This window comes from Homo sapiens, chromosome 15 (genome assembly GCF_000001405.40).
Source record: "Homo sapiens chromosome 15, GRCh38.p14 Primary Assembly".
Classification (NCBI taxonomy): Eukaryota; Metazoa; Chordata; class Mammalia; order Primates; family Hominidae; genus Homo; species Homo sapiens.
Window position 1 is genome coordinate 75,990,015 of NC_000015.10, and position 23,518 is coordinate 76,013,532.

A 23,518-nucleotide genomic window follows, 5' to 3' on the forward strand; every position below is an offset into this window, starting at 1 on the left:
CTTTGGATCTCAAGCGAATACCCTAGGTCTTCACCAAGGACACTTCACTCTAGCTAGTCAGAATGTAAACACATCGCAGCCCTGCCTGAGCTCTGGGGTTGTTCACCTTCGAGCTTCCCAGAAGTTCTTTGCGCAGCACTATGGAGTTTGACACTACACTTGTCTAATGTAGCATCTGACAAGATAATCAAAAGGGATCTCTGTGCAGATTTCTGGAACTCTTTCTCTTACACAGCTTCCTCTTCTCTGGTAGTGCATCCACAAATTTCAGCCATGTCAACCTCCCTGACCTCTGATCTCTTTCTCCTCAGCTCAGCAAGACCAGAGTACTCCGCTTGGTGCACCCATCTCTCTGCACCACGGTCCAGAGCGTACCTCCAGGAAGGGAGCCCGGAAGATTAGAGGGATCTCTAAGCTTGTTCTCCTTCTCTCAGGGATCACTGTCCCGTACTGCCTGTTGTCAACTGTCTGAAAAAAGGGTGTTTCATTTATTTTCCCAATTTTTATAGACATTTTAAAGAGGAGAGCAAGTCTGGTCCAATTACTTCATCAAGGCAGGAAGCAGAAGCCTCTATTATAATTCTTCTGATATCTGTAGGTTCATCTGTACTCTTTCATTACTGATGTTGGTAATTTTCTTACTGTAGTTGGTAATTGTTTTTTTTTTTTGTTTTTTTTTTTTTTGAGACAGGGTCTATGCTCCGTCATCCAGCCTGGAGCTGCAGTGGCATAATCATAGCCCACTGTACCCTCTAACTTCTGGGATCAAGTGATCCTCCCACTTCAGCATCCTGAGTAGCAAGGACTACAGGTATGCAGCACCATGCCTGGCTAATTTTTCAAATTTTGTTGTAGAGACAGGGTTGCCCAGGCTGGTCTGGAACTCCTGGCCTTAAATTGTTCCTCCCACCTCAGCTTCCCAAAGTGCTGGGATTACAGCAGCGAGCCACCACACTCAGCCGGTAATTTTCATATATTCTATTAATCTAGCTATGAGTTTATTAATTTTTATATAATCTTTTCAAGGTATCCATTTCCAAATATTAGGAGTTTTTCTAGACATCTTGTTAGTTATTTCTGCTATAATTTTATCATGGTAAGAGAACGTACTCTAAGGCAGGGGTTAGAAAAATGTTTTCTGTGAAAGGAAAGGGCCAAATAGCAAATATTTTAGGCTTTGCGGGCCATACAGTCTCTGTTGCAACTACTCAACTTTATTGTGTGAAAGCAGGCATTGATGATATGCAAATGAATGAGTGTGCCTTTGTTCCTATAGAATTTTAATTATAAACACTGAAATTTGAATTTTATATACATTTTCTATGTCAAAATATTTTTTAAAAATACTTACAAATGTAAAACTACTACTAACATCATACAAAAACAGGCGATGGGCAAGATTTAGCCCATGGGTCATAGTTTGCTGATCTTTGCCCTATAAATTTTCAATGATAAAATTTATTGAGACTTTTTTATAGCCCAACCTCTGTCCTGGTGAACATAACGTGTACATTTAATGGAATGTATACAGTTTTGGAGGATAGGTTTTTCTATCATTATCAATTAGGTTGAGGTGGTTGACAGTGATTCTTCATTCACTGTGTCCTTAGTGAATTTTTTTTTTTTTTGGTCTAATTGGTCTATGAACTACTGAGAGAGGGATGTTAAAATCTCCAATTAGTGGATTTATCTGTTTCTCCCTCTACCAAATGTTTCATGATTCTAAAGCTCTGTTATTAGGTACATATATGTACCATTTATGATTGCATGTCTTCCTGATGACTCCCTCCCCTCCCTGTCTCACTCTCTCTTTCAATACACAATCTGTCTTTAGTTGGCAAGTTTAGTTAGTTTACATTTAATAAAATTAATATGTTTGTATGTTGGTCTACCATCCCACTGTTTCTCTTTCTTCCATTTATTTTCTGAACCTTCCTTTTCTTGGTTAACTATTGTTTTTAGAATTTCATTCTCATTATCTATAAACCTTTTAGCCAACTCTGCATTACATTTTTAGTGGTTATTCTAGGCCTTACAGTACACATTCTGAACTGCACAGTCTACTTAGGGTTACTATTATATCACTTCACATACAATGCAGACATTTTACAACTATATTGTTCCCTTTACTTCCCTTCCCTTTATGCCACAGTTGTCATGTGTATTGCATCTACAGTCCATATTATCCACAAAACAATGTCACTATTTTTGGTTTAGGTACTCATTATGTACCTCACCTAAGTTGAGATTTAAGAGACAGTTTTATATTTACGCATATTTTTACTATTTCCAAAGTTCTTCATCCCTTTCTGTGGACTCAAGTTTCCATTTGGTATTATTTCCCCTCAGCTTGGAGACCTTCCTTTTACATTTCTTCTAGTATAGGCTTGCAGGTAATAAATTATCTTAGTTTTTTCGTACCTGAAAATGTCTTTATATTGCCTTCATTTTTAAACAGCCTTATTGAGATTTATTATTTATATGATATAATTCACATACCGTACAATCTATCCATTTAAGGTATACAATTCAATGTTTTTAGTATATTCACAGGGTTGTGTAACCATCACCAAAATCTAATTTTAGAATGTTTTCATCTCCCCTGAAAGAAACACCACGTCCATGAGCAATCAATCGCCATTCCCCACCCCACCACTAATCTACTTTCTATCTCTATAAATTTGCCTATTCTGGACATCTAATATGTAAATATGTGTAATACATTTAAAATGTGTAACAGAATTACACATTTGGGGTTATTTTGCAAATGGCTTCTTTGACTTAGCATAATGTTTGTATGGGTGATCTATGTTGTAGTAATATATAACAGTACTTTATTGACAAATATTCCATTGTGTATATATACTACATTTTATTTATACATTCATGAGTTGATGGACACTTTTTTTTTTTACCACTTTTTAGCTATTATGGGTAATGCTTTTATTATTGTCTTCATCCTTGAAGGATATTTTTGCAAGATACAAAGTTCTGGGTTCATAGTTTTTCCCTCTAAGCACTTTAAATATTTCCTTCCACTATCTTTTGGTCTCCATGATTTCTGATAAGAAATCAGTTGCCATTCATACTGCTATTTCCCCATATGTAATGTGTCACTTTATCTGACTGCTTTCAAGATTTTCTCTTTATATTTTTTTCCTCCTGCCATTTGACTATGATGTGTCTAAGTTTGCTTGGTGTTTGTTGAGCTTAAACCTGAAATTTTGGCTTTCACTAAATTTGGAAAATTGGGGACCATCATTTCTTTAAATATTGTTTTTTTTTTTTTCCTGCTGTGTTCTCTTTTCTCCTTCTGGGTTCCCAATTACAAGTATGTCAGTCATTTAACATCATTTGACAAGTCACTGAGGATTCTGTAAAAAAAAAAAAAAAAAAAAAAAAAAAATTCTGGCTGAGCACGAATTACATGTGTGGCTCACACCTGTAATCCCAGCAGTGGACAGATCACGAGGTCAGGAGTTCAAGACCAGCCTGGCCAGCATGGTGAAACCTCGACTCTACTAAAAATTCAAAAATTAGCCAGGCTGCATGCCTATAGTCCCAGCTACAGCTACTCAGGAAGCTGAGGCAGGAGAATCACTGGAACCCAGGAGGCGGAGGTTGCAGTGAGCTGAGATCGTGCCACTGCACTCAGCCTGGGTGACAGAGTGAGACTCACTCTCAAAAAAAAAAAAAATCTGTTTTTCATACAGATATTTTCAACAAAGCTTCAAGTACACCTACTCTTTCTTCTGTTTCCAATCCACTGTTAAGCCCACTCAGAAATTTTTTATTTCAGATGTTATTTTTTAATTCTAGAATTTCTATTTAATTATTTTTCCATATTTCTTATTTCTCTGCTGGGGTTTCCCATTTACTCACTGATAATAAGCAAATTTTCTGTTATATCCTTGAGAATAAATCCTTAAGATTTAAAATTATTATCTGCTAATTGCAATATTTGGCTCATCTCAAGGTCTGACTCCACTGATTTTCTTTAGTCTTCAGTATGGACGACATTTTTCTATCTTCATATGTCTAGTCATTTTGAATTCTAACCCAGACCTTACGAGTGACATGTTGTAGATTCTAGATGGTTACATTCCTTTTTAAAGTACAAATATTTTGTTTTATTAGGATAATTTGGCTTAACTGAAACTCTAAACTCTATCTCTCCTACTGCTGCAACAAGTGAAATGTCTATTCACTTTTCTTAGCCTTACCTGGGCTATCTGGAGTCCTCTATGCATACAAATTCAAGGCCACCCAGATATTTGGGCATATAAAGCACATAAAGAACTCAGGCTCCCCCTCTGTGGCCCTCTTCAGGACATTCAATTTCCAGCTGTGGTGACTGCCTGCATGTTTCCATCCCATTTTACCACTATGTGTTGAATTGATTAGGGGCTGTCCTCAGGCAACAAGCCATAATAATGGGAAACTCACCCAGTGACATTCCCTTCTTCTAGGTGTCAACTACTTTTGTTTCTTCCTGCTTTTAGTCATTCTCCAGTTTCTTCAAATAGTGTTTATACTTGTGCAGAGTTTATTATTTGTAAAAAGGAGGTATATGCGTATTTGATTATGAGCTACTCCAGCTGTACACAAAGCAAGTTGTTTTAATCAGAACTTATATTGATAATGCTCAAGCTTGAAAGTATCTTACAGAATTTAAAAATCTATGTGCTTTCTCTAAGACTGAAGTACAAGAATGGTATATTAGCCACAAGGATCATATTTCTGAAAGTCAGGGCCTAGTAGAAGACACTTAAAGAAAATAAGCAACACAACAATATATTTGTAATACACCTTGTCTTAGTCTATTTGCATTGCTGTAAAGGAATATCTGAGGCTGGGTAATTTATAAAGAAAAGAGAGGCTGGGCATGGTGGCTTATGCCTGTAATCCCAGAACTTTGGGAGGCCAAGGGAGGAGGATTGCTTGAGCCCAGTCTTGACAACATAGGAAGTTCAAGTCCAGTCTGGACAACATAGGAAGACTCTGTCTCTACAATAAATTTAAAAATTAGAGGGCATGGTGGCACGTGCCTCTAGTTCCAGCTACTCCCGAGGCTGAGGTGGGAGGATTGCTTGAACCAGGGAGGCAGAGGCTGCAGTAAGCCATGACCGCACCACTGCACTCCAGTATGGGAGTCGTCTCACTCCAGAGTGAGACCCTGTCTCAAAAAAAAAAAGAAAGAAAGAAAGAAAGAAAAGCAGTTTATCTTGGCTCATGCTTCTGGAGGCTATACAGGAAGCATGGTGCCAGCATCTGCTTCTGGTGAGCACTCAGGAAGTGTACAATCATGGCAGAAGGTGAGGGGGAGCCAGTGTATCACCTGGTGAGAGAGGGAGCAAGAGAGAAAAGGGGAAGACCACAGACTCTTTTAAACAATCAGATCTCACATTAGCTAATAGAGCAAGAACTCATTACCATGAGGAGGGCACCAAGCCATTCATAAAGGGTCTGCCCTCATGATCCAAACACCTCCCACTAGGCCCCCCCGCCCCAAACACTAGGGATCATACTTCAACATGAGATTTGGAGAGAGGATACATATCCAAACTATATCACACCTCAACTATATTTAGGTTGTGTATTAAGTACAAGTGGGAAACTGATGTGATGTCTAATACTTAGAGCTGAAGGAAATAAGATTATATAATGCAAATTGAATTATAAAGTCAATGGATCAGAGTAGAATAAAGCAAAGTTCCTTTAAATAATAGAGACTAGCTGAATATGCATTAACATATCTAAAGAAAGAGCTGTCAGTCTGAGGAGTTGGTTGGCAAGGGACACTCACAGAAAGGAGAGGCACAGAGGCAAACATCGGCAGTGCCTATCTAAGCACTGTTAAGTAGAGAGGGTATTGTAGCCAGAAGACTTCATGCATTACAGTTCTAAGTCAGATTATCTCTCTTGTGGAAATAAATGCATCAGACTAATTACAGGTAGACTTTCATATTATATAATTCTTGTTGTTTTCTTGTTTTCTCTATATCCATTAAAATATTCTGATTACAAATTTGGCTTCCCATACATGTCAGTCTACAGAGAAAAAGAATGCCTGGCTCACATCAACTCAAGCCTGTGTCAGTTATATATCATCATACATTAACAAATTGAAGTATCCAGCCTGGGCAACATAACGAGGCCACGTCTCAATAAATAAATAAGAATGCTTACTTTAGACACTAGCTCTGTAAGCCTAATCAATGTGTATCTGCTGTGAGAGATGAGATCCCTCACAATGTACTTCATTTAACTCTTAACAATCTACACTGAGGGGAGACCTCAGATTGTGATAATACCATGGTCACACAGTACTCATTGGGGCTATTTATTCCCTAGATATACCAACTTCATTGAGTAGTATGAATCTTTTAACTACAAGAGTTTGAAGCTCAGTTATTCACATTATTAAACAAATGAGCCTTGCTTTTTAATAGAGCATGTGTGTTTAGCTATAGAAGACAGTGAAATAAAGAGATACAAAAGAACACACTTTTGAAAGGTCAGGAAACTAGATAATAGTTCCTGACATAAAATTTCTTAGAGTAGCAAAGAAGAGATTTGGTCACAAAATTGGAAAAAGTGCCAAATTTCTATTTGTAACCATTTATTTTTATAGCAACTAGTGACTTGCTTAGATCATTCGTCTACATAATGATAGTACTAGATCCCAACATTATATTTATTATTACTACATTTGTTTATAGTCTTGGTAGGAATCAGATGAAATGGCTGTGTCAGAATATGAAAATAAATTTGATTCTAGATCAAACCTTGAATGTTTTCGGTGAAATGTATTATAGGAATTATATCATAAAGATCTATAAATATCCATATTACACATCACTACTTGATGGCCAGAATTAGCTCTATATTTGGAATTCTCTTCTAACACATATTGGTTGAGAAACTTTGTAAAAAGGATGAGGTAGGTGTCAATGAGAGAAAAATTATTTTAATAGTATTTTTAAGGCTTTTTTTCATGATCTTCTCCCCATTTGAGACTTTTCCCACTATAATACTTAGTAGACTAAGAAAAGCTTGAGATTTCCAGAGAGCTGATGTTATACATTTAATGAGAGAAAAAAATATGTAAACTAAATAAGGGCAAAAATCATTTCAGTAACATTTCTGTACAAAATTACAAATAACTTTTTACGAGATAATTCATCTAATTTTCTCTGAGAAAATTTTTATTTTTTGATACTAATTCAACTCCATTAATATTTAAAAATCTGTATTGCAAAGATATATATTGCAAAGATATTCTTCATAGAATTTCATCTCATCATCTTCTTACCCTTCTTTGCTTGGTATTAAATACCCCTATTTTTTAGTGATTGAAATTTCCAAATCCTTTTCCATCTTGGTTTTTCTCAAAAATTCACTCGAGAAACATTTTTGAGTAGTTTATTAAATTCTATGATATATACTAGATGTAGAAAATTCAAAGACAAGAGAATTATTCAGTCCCAAGGGGCTTAGATTCTATTAGAGAACAACAGACACATAAACACTAAGTACAGTAGAGAGAGATATAAGATAGAAATACGTCTGGGTACAGTGTGAGCATATAATAGTCAACAAAGTTAATACTAGCTGCCTTTAATTGCAAACTTACAAATACTGGTGACTTCATACAATGAAAGTTTAATCCTTGCTCACACTACTGTCTAATGCCCAATGCCAGTCAGGCAGCCCTTCTCCATCTCTTGGCCCTGACACCTGGAGAACATGGCCTCCAAGGTCACTAAGGCAGGAAAAATGAGAGCTGGAGTTTTTCAGGAGTTGGTTTTTCAGGGCCAGACTTGTGACTGGCTTGCATCCCTTTTGCCCATACTCTACTGTCCAGAACCCAGTCACATAGACCCAGTCTAACTGTATGTGAGGCTCAAACACAGAGGACCACATAGTTATTGGACACTAACAGCCTCTGCCACAGGGCTGAATGGCTAATTCTACCCAGAAAAGCTTCATAAAAGATACAAAGTTTGACTTGGGTTTCAGATCACTCTGCTTTATCAAATTCTATCCTACATAATGTGAAACCCGAGAGAATTAACAGAAAAATTATTATAATGATAACAGAAGTCAACAAAGTAGTGGGGCATTCATTCACTCAACAGATACTTACCGAAAACCTACTCTATGCTTGTTCTAGATGCACGGAAAATCTCAGTGAACAAAAAATAAAAATTTCTTTCCCTGTGGGACTTACATTCTAGCTTGGGGAGATACAATGTAAAGTAAATTATATAGTATGTTGGTAGATGGTAAGAGAGGAAGAGAGGGAATAGGCGAAGAATGGGTTTTACTTTTTAAAAAGTGGTCTAGGAGGCATCATTGAAAGATTGATAGTGAAGACTAAAAGGATGAGGGGGAGTTAGCCATGAGGATATTGGGGGAGAAAGCATTCAACACAGGACAGAAAGGCCAGGCCAACACCTTAAGTCTGGAACTTTCCTGGCATCAGGGAACATCAAAGAGGCTAATTTGGCTGCAGTAGATTGAGCAATTAGATAGTTGCAGGATATGAGGTGAGAACAATAATAGGGGCCATATCATTAAGGTTTTATAGGCCACTGGCTTTTATCTGAGTGAGACAGAGAGTCACTGAAGGGTTTTAAGCATAGAAATAACATATTTATTAAATTTACATATGGAAACAGATTTACCCCAGTAACAAAAAATCAAATCTATGGGAAAAAATTCAGAAATATGCAAAACATATATAATGTTAAAAACACTCTTGAAGTACAGAAAAGGATTTGAACTAATGGGAAGACATATCAATCCTGGATAAGAAGATTCAGCATCATAAAGAAACTTTCCTAAAGGGAATTTATCAATTTAATTTTTTATATTCTTCTGGACTGATTCTAAAGTTCATATGGAAAAATTAAAAAGCAAGGACAGCCAGGGTGCAAGGGAGTGCCGCAAAAACTAGACTTACCACATATTAAACTCACTATAAACATTCAACAATTAGAAGAGACTGCTGTGGGCATAAGAATAAATGGACACACCAAAGGAAAACGGAGTCCAGTAAGAATTAATACATATAGAGTTTCACATATAACAAAGTTGGCATCTCAAATCAGCAGGGGAATTCATTCATTCATTTAATAAATATTTATTGAGTACTTACTATGTTTCAGGTACTGTTCTAGCAGTAAACATATAGATAAAAATTTCTGCCCTCACAGGGCTGACATTATAATGGGAATTATGATCTATAAACTGATAATGTTGGGAAGACTGGGTAGGTGCTATGTATCCCCTCTAAAAATTCATGATGAAACATAATCTCCATTGTGCTGGCATAAGGAGTTGGGGCTTTCTTCACCCTCATGAATGGACTAGTTCCTTATAAAAAGGCTAAAGGAAACTAGCTTAGGCCTTTTTATGCTCTTCTACTCTCTGCCATGTGAGGACATAGTGTTCGGCCCTTTTTTGCTCTTCTGCCCTCTGCTATGTGAGGACACAGCATTTGCCCCTTCTGCTATGTGAGCTTGCAACAAGAAGGCCCTCACCACACACCAAAAGCTGGTGCCTTGATCTTTGGCTTCCCAGCCTTCAGAACTGTCAGAAATAAATTTCTACTGTCTATAAATTATCCAGTCTCAAGTATTGTTACAGCAGCAGAAACAGACTAAGAGAGTAGCCATATTAAAAAAGATAAATCTGGATCTATATCTTAAAACATATACATAATCCAAATAGAGACTTGGCACAGTGGCTTATACCTATAATCCCAGCACTTTGGGAGGCCGAGATGGGAGGATCATTTGAAACCAGAAGTTCAAGACCAGTATGGGTAACATAGTAAGACCTAAAAATAAAAAAATTAGCTGGGCACACTGGCACACATCTGTAGTCCCAGCTACTCAGGAGGCCAGCCTGGAGTGCAGTAGCATGATCTCGGCTCACTGCAACCTCTGCCTCCCAGATTCAAGAGATTCTCCCACCTCAGTCTCCTGAGTAGCTGGGATTACAGGTGCCTGCCACCACACCTGGCTACTTTTTATATTTTTAGTAGAAACGGGGTTTCACCATGTTGGCCAGGCTGGTCTGGAACTCCTGACCTCAGATGATCCACCCACCTCGGCCTCCTAAAGTGTTGGGATTACAGGCATGAGCCACTGCACCTGGCTGGAAAGTCTTTTTTAAAACTATGACTCGAACTTGAAGGGCTTTTAAAAAAAATTGATAGATTTGACTGCAGTAAAACCAGAAAACAACTGCATGGAAAACTAAATCCCATAAGCTAGGTAAAAGGAAAAATAAGCTATAAATAATTATCTATAATTGATATTATAGACAAAAGGCTAATCTTACTAATATAAAAGCAATATATAAACAAATACATTATCAAAAAGATTTTAATTAGTATTTAAACAACTGAACTATGCCCAGCTTTCCTCATAACTAGGAAAATAAAAATTAAAAGAACACTGAGATACTATGTTTGACATAGTAGTTTGACAATTCTGTTGCAAGGTTATAGAAAAACACGTACCCAAATATATTGGTGGGAGTTCAAAATAACATAATCTCTATGGATAGCAATTTGGCAACATATATTGAAGTTACAAATGCATTTATCTTTAACCCAGCAATTTCACTTCCAGGACTTTATTTTACTGATATATAATTGTATAATTTCATACATGTGCAGATTTATGTGCAAGGTAAAAAATTAGCTGGGCACAGTGGTACACACTGTGTGTACTTCTGCACTGTGTGTACAATACTCATTAATAGAGGCTTGGCTAAATACATGATGGTATATTCACACAAACAGAATACCTTCTAGTTGTAAAAACGAATTGGGAAGCCATATATTAAAATGAGCAGATATCCAGGATATATTGTTAAGAAAAAAGAAATACAGGATAGTACATATAGCAATACTCCCCAACAGAAATAAAATGTCTAGTTTTAAATTTTTCTTAATTATTTTTATCTTTTTTTAGAGACAGGGTTTTGCTCTGTTGCCCAGGCTGGAGTACAGTGGCATGATCATGTTCACTGCAGCACTGAAGTCCTGGACTCAAGCAATCCTCCCACTTTAGCCTCCTGAGTAGCTGGGACTGTCAGCACACGCCACCACACCTGGTATTTTTTTTGTTTTGTTTTGTTTGGTAAAGATGAGGTCTTACTATGTTGTCCAGGCTGGTCTCAAACTCCTGGCCTCAAGCATTCCTCCCTCCTGCCTTGGCCTCCCAAAGTGCTGGGACTACAGGCGTGAGCTACCATGCCTGGCCCCAATTTTTGTAGCCACATTGAAAAAAACCGAAAAGGGTGAAATTATTTGTAGTAATATATTTTCACTTCAATATATCCAAAATATTATCATTTCAACATGTAATCAATATAAAAGTTATTGAGATAGTTCACTTTTTCACATTAAGTCTTCAAAATTTAAGGATTATTTGATACTCATTGCACATCTCCAGTTCTCAGTCACACTAGCCACATTTCAAGTGCTCAGTAGCCACACATGGCTCCTGGCTACCATATGGGACCACACAAGTATACAATGTTTGTTCTTTGCTTCATTTGACAAATACTTATTGAATGACTATTATATATTAAGAACTATTCTACTAAGAATGGGAGGTTAAAATACGCATTTGTATTTCCTTGAATTTGCAAAAAGAAGTACTGGAAGTTTAGATAAGGGCTTACTGCTTTCTTTTAGTACACAGGGAGGAAAAATGTTAACAGACATAGAAATGAGAGAAATATACATCAACGTATTTTTTGGTTTTGATCTTTGAAAAATGTGAACATATTATCTATTTTAAACTTGTAGGAGGAGCCTACAACAAACACATAACAAGTATCCTCCTCCCAGCCAGATTTTTGTCAGATTTTGAACCTGTATGGAACAAGGGGATACAAAGCTTAGCTCAAAAGCTCCAAAGTGCGTAACTTTCAGAGTGGAGAAAACAAAGACTTAGCCACTCAATCAAAAGCTGGGTTGGGCCAGAAAGGATAAATGAAATCTCCCATATGAAAAAAGGAGCAAAGAACAGACAAAATAAGCAGAAAACAAGAAGAGAATAAAGTTAAACCCAGCTATTTCGAAAACTGTGTGAAATGCAAATGGACTTATCACTAAACATATTTGACAGCACAACAATAGTACCAAGGGAAAAAAGTGACTAAGGATTTAAACTGTTAGAAGATACTTGCATTGTTCAGGAAGAGTAAACGTACTAATTGAGGGTAGACTGTAATAAATTAAGAATATATACTGTAATATCTAGGATAATTACTCAAAGAGTAATATAGAAAGGTATAACAAGAGATAATGAAGAAAATAAAGTGGGAACTTAAAAGATACTTAAATAGCCAATAAAAGGGCAGGAAAGAAGGAATGCTAGAGGAAAATGCTGGTCAACGAGCAAATGGGACAATGAGAAAATATCAGCAAGATGGTAGACTTAAACCTAGCCATATCAGTAAGTTCATTAAATGCAGATGGACTAAACTGACTAAATCATACAATTAAAAGAGACTATCGGATTGAATTTTTAAAAAACCTGTCTATATGTTTATTAAACATACACTTTAAAGATACAGATAGGTTAAAAGAGGATAGAAACAGATACACTGTGTAAAACACCAACAAATAGAAAGCAATATTAATAGCAGAGAGGTAGACATTACAGCAAGAAGTAATACTAAAGATAAAGCAGAACATTGTGTAATGATAAAAGGGTCAATTAAACAAGAGCACATCAGAAGTCTAAACTTATGTACATGTAATAATTAACATAGCTTCAAAATATATAAAGTAAAACTGGGGGAAGGAGAAGCAGGCAATCTACCATCCTACTTGAAGATGTTAATATACATATCTCAGTAAGTGATAGAATAATGGGCAAAATATCAGTCTGGAAAGAGAATGTTTGGATAGCATTATTTACCAATGTGACTTAATTGAAATTTACAGAATGCTATACCAATCAACTGCTCCTTTTCAAATGTGCATGAAACATCAACCAAAATAGATTCCATGAAGGGCCATAAAGTAAGTCTCAACAAATTTCAAAGGAACAAAATTGTAAAGAGTATATTCTCTCACTATAATGGAATTAAACTTGAAACCAATAATAAAATATAACCAGAAAATCCACAAATGCTGAAAATTGAGCAATACACTTTCATAGAATTAACAGATCAAAGAAAACTTTCAAAGGATATTAGTAAACATTTGAATTAAACAAAATGAAAATATGACACATCAAAAATCGTGAGCTGCTATTAAATTAATTCTCAGAGGGAAATTTATAATTTTAAAACGTTATGTTAAAATAGATGAACATAAGATAATGACAACTGTTGAGTCATCTACCAGAAAGAAAAAAGATTAAAGAAAGTGAACAGAGCCTAAGGGTCCCATGGGACACCATCAAATGGACCAACATACCTATTGTGAGAGTTCCAAAAAGAGAAAAAAGACAAGGATAGAAAGAATATTTAAAGAAATAATTGTTTAAAACTTCCCAAATTTGATGAAAGACATTAATATAAATATCCAAAAAGGTTAATGAACTCCAAGTAAGATGAACTCAAAGAGACCCATAATGAGACATGCTATAATCAAACTTGTAAAAGCCAAAGAGAGAATCCTGAAAGCAGCAAGAAAAGTGACTCCTCACAGAGAAGGGATCCTCAATGAGATTATCAACAGATTTCTCTGATCAAAACTATGCAAGCCAGAAGATAGTAGGCTGATAAACTCAAATGGCTAAATAAACAAACAAAACAACTGGAACCAAGAATCCAATATCCAACAAGCAGTCCTTCAAAACTAAGAGTTTTTAAGGCATTCCGAGATAAAAGCTGACAAAATTCATTATCACTTGACCTGTTCTGCAAGAAAAACTCAGGGAGTCCTACATGGTGAAATAAAGATATCCATAAAAATAAATACATGAACAATTTTAAAAGCTAGTATTATCATAAAAATAGTTTGTAACCCCATTTTTATCTTCTACATAATTTAAGAGATTAATGTATTGAGACGAATTCTTAGTTTATGTTTTGTGGCACACAATATATAAAAATATAATTTTGTAACAATACGTGAAAGAAGTGGGGACAGAGCTACAAAGAAGCAGAGTTCTTATATGTGATTGAAGTTAAGCTGGTATAAATTCAAATTAGTGTTATAACTTTAAAAGGTTAAATTTAATCCCCATGGTAAACACAAAGAAAATAGTTATAGAATATACACAAAAGGAAATGAGAAAGGAATTTAAACATTTTACTACAGGCCGGGTGCAGTGACTCACACCTGTAATCCCAGCACTTTGGGGAGCTGAGGCAGGCACATCACCTGAGGTCAGGAGTTCGAGACCAGCCTGACCAAAATGGAGAAATCTTGTCTCTACTAAAAATACAAAATTAGCCAGGCATGGTGGCCATGCCTGTAATCCCAGCTACTCAGGAGGCTGAGGCAGGAGAATCACTTGAACGCAGGAGGCAGAGGTTGCAGTGGGCCGAGATCACGCCATTGCACTCCAGCCTGGGCAACAAGAGCGAAACTCCGTCTCAAAAAAAAAAAAAAAAAATTTTTTTTTACTATGAATAAATCAATTAAACACAAAAGACAGTAAAATAGAAAATAACAAAAAAGTGATAAGGCATATAGAAAATAAATAGCAAAATTACAAAAGCCCCTTCTTATCAGTAATTACTTTAAATGTAAATAGATTAAATTATCTAATAAAAGAGATTAGAAAAATGGACGAAAACACATGATGCAACTATATGCTGACTAGAGGCATTTTAGATCTAAAGGCACAAATACAGTTGACCCTTGAACGATATAGGGGTTAGGGGCACCAACCCCCATGCAGTCAAAAATCCACATATAACTTTTGACTCCCTCAAAACTTAACTACTAATAGCCTTCTGTTGACTGGAAGCCTTACTAATAACATAAACAGTCAATTAACACATATTTTATATGTTTTATGTATTACTATATTCTTATAATAAAGCAAACTAGAGAAAAGAAAATGTTATTAAGAAACTCATAAGGGGGCTGGATGAAGTGGCTCATGCCTGTAATCCCAGCACCTTGGGAAGCTGAGGTGGGAGGATCACTTAAGGCCAGGAGTTTGATGCCAGGAGTTTGAGACCAGCCTAGTCAACAGCAAAACCCCATCCTCTGCAAAAAATAAATTGCCAAGTGCAGTGTTGTGTGCCTGTAGTCCCAGCTTCTTGGGAGGCTGAGGCAGGAGGATCACTTGAGCCCAGGAGTTTGAGGTTGCAGTGAACTATGATCAAGCCACTGCACTTCAGCCTGGGCAACACAGCAAGACTCCGTCTCTTAAAAAAAAAAAAAAAAAAGGGCCAGGTGCAATGACTCACACCTGTAATCTCAGCACTTTGGGAAGCCCGAGGTGGGTGGATCACCTGAGGTCAGGAGTTCAAGACCAGCCTGGCTAAAATGGCGAAACCCCGCCTGTACTAAAAACACAAAATTTAGCTGGGTGTCGTGGCACACACCTGTAATCTCAGCTACTCAGGAGGCTGAGAGGCAGGAGAATCACTTGAACCTGGGGGGTGGAGGTTACAGTGAGCCGAGATCGCCCTACTGTACTCCAGCCAGTGAGACTCTGTCTCAGAAAAAAAAAAAAAAAAAAAAGGAAAGAAAAGAGAATTGTAAGGAAGAGAAAATATACCTCTTACTATTCATTAAGTGGAAGTAGATCATCATAAAGGTCTTCATTGTTGTCATTTTCATTTTCGTGTAGACTGAGGAGGAGGAGAAAGAGGAGGAGTTGGCAGGCAACATAACACAAAGTATATCTAACGTAAATAGTGAATGGCTCTAGTTAGAATGCAGACCAAGGAAGAAATGGCCACAAAGGTAGTTTGAGGGCCAAATGGTAGAAGGCTGAAAGAGCTAGGCTAAAAAGTAAGGTATTATTTCATGAGTGGTAGATGGATAGGTGTGAGGGCTGTCACTGAAGGTTTTTTTTGTTTTAGCTGGACAGATGATGAGAATTAGCCTCCGGGAAAATTGGTTAGGGACTATTTCTATAGACAAAGCAAGGAGTTAAGAAACTCTGAGCTAGTATATTGATAGTAAGAACAGAAAGGACTAGAGAGATGAGAGATACAGCAAAGGTAGAAATATGATTTGACAACTGGACAAGAGGGCAATAAAGAGTCAAATATAAGTCTGGGGTTTCTCAGTGACAAGATGGTTGAGATGTCATAATAGAAACAGGAAATACAGAAAACAGTATGAAGTGGGATGGAAAATGAGCTTATCACTCTTAGCTATTGCTATTACAGCCTACAGGGCTACATTAGAGGTGTGCTCCTAAGATAATTGGAAAACAATTATTTTTATAAAATATGATTTTAAATATATCTGCCATTCAATGTTACTGAACCTGCAGTCACTATTTTTTTTATCCTTTTTTCTCAGTCGCCCTTTTGTTCCCTACCCCACTCCCCTACTTCACTTCCTTCCAGGGTGTTTAGCAACTCCAGAATACACATTCACGTTGCAAAGAGGGTGCCAAGCCACAGAGCCTCCTGCTGTTGTGCAATGTGGTGACCTTGCTATCCATCATGAACCCATGTGGCATGGTTTCAGCTACTCCCAATTACTACTTTTACATTCTGATATTAGGAAGAAACTATACACATTTTTACACCTGGTGTGGGTTGCCAGCAAACTTGGCCATTCTCTATCATTGGTAACTTTTTGAAAATACACTAAAAACGCATCTATCCAACGTACAAAAGCAGGATGACAACCTAGGTTTCTTTCCATTTTAATGAATCTCCAAATTCCAGCATTCTTAGTTCTTTCTTTCAACTTATTCAGTGAGGTATAACAGATAGCTAGTATACAGATAGATATTAAGTGCATAGCTTAACGGACCAAGTACTCTGTCCACAATGCCATTAAATCGGATATAAATATAAAAGGATAGGAAAACACCTATAGGTTACAGAAGAAATCATAATGAAAAAATGTTTAAATCTAAAACTGAACAACAAACTATAAAATTTTTAGGATAAAACAGAAATGTATTTGAAAATTTTTAACATTAAATACTGCCTATTAGAAAATAAGGCTAAACGTCATTGAGTCGAAGAATAAAGTTAAGGAATCATGCTACCTGATTTTGCTCATTATAAAGCTACGTTTATCAAGACTGGTATTGGTGAAAAGACAGGAAACATAGATCAACAGAAAAGAATAGTCCAGAAATAGACCTGCACATAAATGATCAATTGATTTTTGACAAAGGGGCAAAGGCAATTCAATGGAGAAAGGATAGTCTTTATACCCATGCAGCCATCATCAAGATCAAGACACAAAATGTTAGTATATTTAAATTATTAAACGCACTTTTTTTTTTTTTTTTTTTTGAGACGGAGTCTCGCTCTGTCGCCCAAGCTGGAGTGCAGCGGTGTGATCTTGGCTCACTGCAAGCTCCACCTCCCAGGTTCATGCCATTCTCCTGCCTCAGCCTCCCGAGTAGCTGGGACTACAGGCGCCCACCATCATGCCCAGCTAATTTTTTGTATTTTTAATAGAGATGGGGTTTCACCGTGTTAGCCAGGGTGGTCTCGATCTCCTGACCCTGTGATCCGCCCACCTTGGCCTCCCAAAGTGCTGGGATTACAGGTGTGAGCCACCGCGCCCAACCTAAATGTACTTCTTCTGATAAGCATTCTTGTTTTATTTTAAACATTCTACGTGCCATATCACCTTAGAAAGAATCCAGTATGAATATATTATAAAGTTAAGTGAAACTTGTGAGTTGTATTCAAAGGTGACACCTTTCTTCTTCCCAGCTATATGACCTTTGGCATGTCACTTAATTTCTCATTTTCCCCTTTTTTAAAAAATTATTTTCTAAGGTCTCCCCTGCCTCCTTTCTCTAAGGTGTTTGTGAGAATTAAGTGTTGAGCACAGTCAGCAACAAAATTTGGGGGGATTATCTATGGAAATGTTCTATATCTAGATGTGATGGTGGTGGTGATTTCACAGGTACAAACACTTGTCAAAATTAATCCATTTTGCACTTTAAATGAATGCAGTTTATCATACATAAATTATATCTCAGTAAATAGATTAAAAAAGAAGAGTATACTGCTGAGGCACATCATGAGTGTTAAGTAATTGTTAATTTGTTCCTCCATTCCCTTCCCTTTTCATATTCACTAGAGAAGAAAAACACCTGGGCACTATTCCCCATATGAGAAGCCCTAAAAACTTCTTGAGATAATTGTGAGGTTATTTCTCTCTGCCTCCTCTCCTCCATACTACATCCCAGTATCTTTAACTTTTCCTATGGATTTTACTTTTCTATCCTTTTATGTAGCTAGATCTTAAATCTAGATTCTATACTTCTCATTTCAGTTAAAGAACAAGAAAGAGTAATTCACATGTGTTACAAAATATCTTTAGATCTTGGGTGTTAGCTCCACAGTATAGGGCAGTACTATGATGTTAACTCATATACTAAAAGACGTTTATTATATACATTTAAATCCTATTCAACCAAACTCATAGGAATCAGGCTACAGAAGTACTATTTTGAAGTTTTTTATGGGTCACTGGCTGTATCTATACTCCCACAGTGAATTATATTATTTTAAAACAATAGTGGCTAAGATACCCTTCTTTTTTATTTGCTACCACCATTAGAAAAACTTAACCCTTCTTTTGCTTTTTAACATATAAAGTGTAAGTTTTGGTGCCAACTCAGTTATCATGTGTTTATGTACTAAAAACTCAAAATAAAATATATCATATTAGGTTTTTTTGATTAGCAAATTCCCTAGCTGTTTTGCCAGTAATATTAAGCATAGACTGCCTTCCTTAAATTGCTAAAATCAAAGAGTTCACTAAAAGGGATTATTTTTTAAAAATGTGTCTAGGCTAGGAACTACCATTAGCAATTTTCAGAATAAACACCTTGATTAGTGAGATTTTTATGTGCTATTTTATTTTGTTTTTGTTTTGTTTTAAAAGGATAATTTTCCCTAAATAAATATGAATATGCCTCACATCTTTTCATCTTACACTTTTTGTTTACTTTTTATCACTTCTCAAAGAAGTTAGTAGACAATAAAAAATAAAGTTAACATCTCCCCCTAGTCCATTTCACTCACCTACAAAATGGGCTGGGAATAGTAGGTATCACATAACAAAGCCCCCCATTCAGGCAAAACGACTTGTGACTGGGACCACAGGGCTCTTCGTGATCTAGAACACATACATATATAAAATAGAGAAAAGCAAATTAAAGTTTTCCTAATGCAACAAGGAATAGGAATAACTATCTTAAACTGAAGTAGCAATTCTGAAAATCAGAATGAAGAATTTTTTTTCTCAAAATGAAAGATTTAATTCTATTCCTTATTTGACAGACTGGGACTTCTATGTCTTTGAGAGAAAAATTATGTCCTAAAGATATGGCCATTAACTATAATGGGTTTAGACATTATATAACAGAAATAAGGAATATCTATATTAGTTAGATTAAAAGGAGGTGATCAGCATCTTAGAACAAACAGGGCCTTTCTCACTTACTACAGAGATTTGGCAGTATTACCTAGCATTTCCCTGTCCCAAGAATTTATTTAAATTCTTGTTTTCCCTATTAGGTCTCAAATACATTAATATCTGAAATTGCAGCTGGTAAAGGATTTAGATAATTAACTTTTTATTTCCAAAGTTAACTTTAAATGTTCCTATATGACAATCTAAATGTCAGAAACCAAAAATAAACTTATAAGGTGTTGATTTGCAAAGTGTTTTAGGTAACAGTTACTAACCATAAGGCATATCTAAAGTTGCAAAGAAAAATTAAAAAGCTAAGTCATAGCTTGATATACAGCCAAATCTTTCAGAATATTAAGAAAATAAACCTCTACTTCTCTCTGACTTCTTTTCTCTCTTTCCTCTTTCCTCAGCCTCATCTTCCTTCTTTATGACCTTTCCTTTATCTATCTTTCTCTCTCTGCCTTCCCTTTCTCCCTTGGTACCTCTCCTTCCTTCTAGCCTCACCCCCAAGACCTTTTATAAAAAATCCCTGTCCACCAAAGCCATTGTATAGAAAAAATTAGAATAACAGAAGGATTCATTGAGTCATTATACTAGTAATTTATGAAGAGAAAATTGGTGAATATCTTATCTTCCAGCCTTAAAGGGGAAATTACATTGCTTTAAACTTGTACATTGTTAGTTCCTAATTGTTTCTGTCTAGGAAATGACCCAGAATCATCTAATCAGAATAAGAAAATGGCATTACTCTCCCACTGGGACTCCAATTTGACATTAAAATTAGTATATTAATTTTAAAAATTATCTAGCATTTATGTGCCACTAAGATATCAATACTTGCTAAGATATAATTGCTATGAGTCAGATATCTCCACAATCAGAATTTCAAATTTTAAAACTTTTGTTCTACTTTAGAATTGAGAAAATCCTGTTTCAGCATCACATTATAGCCCTAAGAGTATAAAAATGTAAAGACGAAATCAGAACTACAGAGAACTGGTGAAAAAGAAAGTAAAATCAACCAAAATGAATGCTTTTAGATTTTTTTCTTTTTTACACAATGCCATGCTTCTTCGTAATCAAACAACTTTCAACAAGATTATAAAATTTTTCAGGAATAATTTGGCTAAAAAATAAAATTAACATTACATCAGCATCAAAGGCGTCATCATATATGGTTTTCCACTGAGGGTGGAATGTAACTTTATCACAGCTAAGATTAGTGTCCTTGTTTTAATTGGATTATAGTCAGACATATCTCAACACTTGGCATTTATTTTATCAATAAAGAAAACTCATCTAACCTGAATCATTATTTCTGAATCTACTTTTATTCTGACTTCTATTTCCTTATTATTTGAGCTGATTTCAGATATAGGACAAGCTAGAATTTATCAGGTTATAAAACCAATAAAACACATATATCTAAAATAAAATAGCTTTATGTCACAAAGGAAGGTCTCTCAAAACCAAATATTTCATATTTGAAATATTAATTTCATATTCACATCTCTTCCAATGATGTTGGAAGGGAATAATACAGCCTTGTGTTAATATACATTTTTGATTGTTGTTCTATTGCTATGGACACATATTGACAAAAACATATAAATATATAAGAAATTACCTGTTGGCATCTTAATTTGTAAATAGTTTCATTCTTGGTCAAGAGAGTAGGGTTGAAAAACAGTACCTAAAACGGTTTAAAAAGTAATAATTCAGGGAAAATAGTCTTCTTTTAAGGGCATTATAAAATGTCAAATATTCTAATAGCAATATTCTTAAATGTTGAAAATAAAATAATAAAGACATTTATATACTAGGGACAAATTTTAGTTACAGCATTTTTAGATACCTATTGCATTTCAGTAAAAAATATGAACAAAACTAAAAGATCAATAACGTACTTAATATAAATCATTGCCTAAATAATGTAATTTAATCTTAAATATCTCTCTGCAGAAAAGTCTAATAAGGCTTTTTTTCGTAAACATTGTTAACATAGTAGAGTACTACATGGAATTTTACATGAACGATGAGACAGTAAGTAAAACTGAATGAACTGAACCTTTAAAACTTTTATAAAAGCACTTTTAAGTTTACCATAGATTGCACATTACATTTACCAACCTATGCAAACCTTTCTTCTAAAAAATGTCCAGGGCTGATAGGTGCGGCAAACCACCATGGCACACATGTTATAAACACACTATGTAACAAACCTGCACGTCCTGCACATCTATCCCGGAACTTAAAATTAAATTTAAAAAAGAAAAAAAATGTTAACCCCACACACACACAAAAATGTCTGGCATCTGGCAAAGCAATGTAGCTAATAAGACATTCTTACATATGAAGTTTCCTGCTATAACAGAAACAAAAGAATTCAAACATATATTTGAAGAGGTGAAGCATTTATACTTACATTATGATTACAAGCTCCCAGTTCTGTTCTATAAAGAACACTTCTGACCTAAACAGAAAGACTCTAACAGAAATCTCAATCTACTAACACAGTTGTAATACCAAGGTCTTCTCTCAAAGCCAACAGCTCTTTCTTAGACAAGCAGAGAGGCAGAGAAAGCGAGCAAGCAATCGAGAGAAACACACACGAGCGAGAACAGGCAGGAAGGAGAACATTAAATCTATTTGATTTTTAAAAAGCACTGACTCATACTGTTTCTTTTTTCCAAACAAACAGGACTTACCCTCAATAAAAACTTACATTCACACAAAAAATAAATTTTGTTGGACATGCAGTGTTTCAAAAGTTTTTGAATACCGCAGACAACAGCAGCTGTGACTTGCATTTTATAACATGTCAAAAATCTGATTTATATGGCTGCAGTGTGCAGTGTGGGCGAGGTCACGCCAGACCAAGGTGTGCACAGAGGTCAGGCACTGGCCACGGGAGCCACCCCTTCAATTTACGTGTTCAGAGTTGCAAATGGAGCAGAATTTTATTTAGAAAAGGAGTTGAACTAAGCTGCACTTCCAAATTACTGTCCACGTTTTAAAGGTAAAAACCAAACCACATTCCTTAGACTCCTTACTTATCTTTGCTTGTCTGAATAATTCAAGACGTAGTGTAAGTTTGGGAGAAAAGAAATTTTAATGTGGAGCTAATAGATAAGTGTTTCACAAATTAAAAAAACATTTTTTTAAATTTATGTTTTATGAGGTTTGTGTTACCTTACAAGCCAGATAAAATTTATATAAATAATGACCTGAAGAACTTATAAAGCTAAAAGAAGGTAATAGCTATAATAAAACTTGTAACACCAAGTTCAATTTGAAATGAATAAAATCACTGAACTTGACTAATACCAATGACAGTGTAATGCCTGAATGCTATGGCAAAGTTGTTAAATATACAGTGAGGAAAGTTAAGTTTTAAAAATCATAAACAATTTTAAAATATTGACTAAAACTGTAATTTTGTTTAAATGAATATAGAGTTCTTCATCATATAATTATCTAAAATATGCCAAACATTTAGATGGTTATCTTTTCTAAAACGACAATTCAGACATTATTACTTGACTGATGTAAAGCCCAAACTAATAAGTTTGTTTTGTTGTTTTAAGAAAATATTAAAATAAACTCAAAATCAAATACTCTAAAAACAATCTGTTCATTAGGAGAATGGTGTGAACCCGGGAGGCGGAGCTTGCAGTGAGCTGAGATTGCACCACTGCACTCCAGCCTGGGCAACAGAGTGAGACTCCGTCTCAAAAAAAAAAAAATGTTCATTATTACATTTTTAAAATTATACTTTAAGTTCTGGGATACATGTGCAGAATATGCAGGTTTGTTACATAGGTATACAAGTGCCATGCTGGTTTCCTGCACCCACCAACCTGTCATTTACATTAGGTATTTCTCCTAATGTTATCCCTCCCTTAGCCCCCCACCCCGACAGGCCCTAGTGTGTGATGT

At 35.6% G+C, this 23,518-nt stretch overlaps 1 protein-coding gene across 14 annotated transcripts in view; it reads right to left on the reverse strand.

Annotated features, from left to right (window-relative positions):
* Positions 1 to 23,518, reverse strand: part of NRG4 (neuregulin 4) — a 124,848-nt gene that overhangs the window by 54,622 nt on the left and 46,708 nt on the right. For 8 of the 14 annotated variants that reach the window (XR_007064433.1, XR_007064432.1, XM_047432183.1 and 5 more), the window contains 2 exons: positions 21,207 to 21,272; positions 19,186 to 19,279 (listed from right to left, as the gene is read on the reverse strand). Coding sequence is in view for 12 of the 14 variants with exons in the window: in XM_047432183.1 (XP_047288139.1) it covers positions 19,186 to 19,279; positions 21,207 to 21,216 (104 nt within the window). In the remaining 2 variants the exon portion in view is untranslated. Of the gene's footprint in view, positions 1 to 19,185; positions 19,280 to 21,206; positions 21,273 to 22,004; positions 22,411 to 23,518 lie in introns of those variants that run through there. The other 6 variants (XM_047432178.1, NM_138573.4, XM_047432179.1 and 3 more) reach the window with 3 other exon arrangements.